The 836-nt window shown below is 26.4% G+C and overlaps 1 annotated feature.

The window, feature by feature from the left end:
- Positions 455 to 624: an enhancer, noted in NCBI's record as "experimental_33920 CRE fragment used in MPRA reporter constructs". NCBI's record gives its function as "activates a minimal promoter by MPRAs in K562 erythroleukemia cells, with activity observed for both the introgressed and non-introgressed 14:43727308 variant alleles {active_cell/tissue: K562}" and the evidence as "EXISTENCE:reporter gene assay evidence [ECO:0000049][PMID:34662402]".

Raw genomic sequence — 836 nt, 5'->3', positions numbered from 1 at the left:
TACACTATTGTATTCATGGTTTGTATTTTCTTAAGAGTCTCTTACCAGTGAATCCATTTTATTCATTTGTTTGTGAAAATGTGTATTGTCTACATCTTTGCCCTAAGCAAAGGGAGAAGCATATGCTTAGTGTCAGTAGGTGATTAGTTTACATCATTGTCATGTATATTAGACAGTCAAACGTTTCTGTTGATGACATTTTGGACAGAATAAAATCAGTTTTTTCCGTTAAATTTTTAAGGTCAATATAAAGATAAGTATATTATTCCTTAACCTAATGAGAATAAATTTAAAATGAAAAATATTTTATTTTTAATCTTTTAAAAATTGTTTTTCAATTCCTAAAGGAACATATGCAAGTTAATGACTTACTTCTACTAAAATTCATAATAGAATATATCAATATTTAAATGATAGTAACGTAAAATGTATATTAATAAAATGTTTTTAACATATTGTAAAAGCATTTTAATTCATTTTCATTGCCAATCAGAAATATAATTCTAACAAGCTTTATGTTTCCCAGAAGCATATCATACATATTAATATTATTATGTATGAGTAGTCAAGTCTGATGCCATTTCACACATAAATAATTGTAATCAGGAAATCAAAATTCAGAACAAAAATATATCCTCTTCCTTATGCTATTTTAAAGAAGAAAATCAAGGGAAACATCATTTATTCCACATATGACCTTCCCTTCATCTATGAATATATGTATTGCTTAAGAAGATATTAGGATTCTTTTTTTTATTATTATTATACCTTAAGTTTTAGGGTACATGTGCAAAACGTGCAGGTTTGTTACATATGTATACATGTGCCATGCTGGT

Source organism: Homo sapiens, chromosome 14 (genome assembly GCF_000001405.40).
Source record: "Homo sapiens chromosome 14, GRCh38.p14 Primary Assembly".
Classification (NCBI taxonomy): Eukaryota; Metazoa; Chordata; class Mammalia; order Primates; family Hominidae; genus Homo; species Homo sapiens.
Note: the sequence above shows the minus strand (reverse complement) of the source record. Positions and strands in the feature narration are given on the sequence as shown.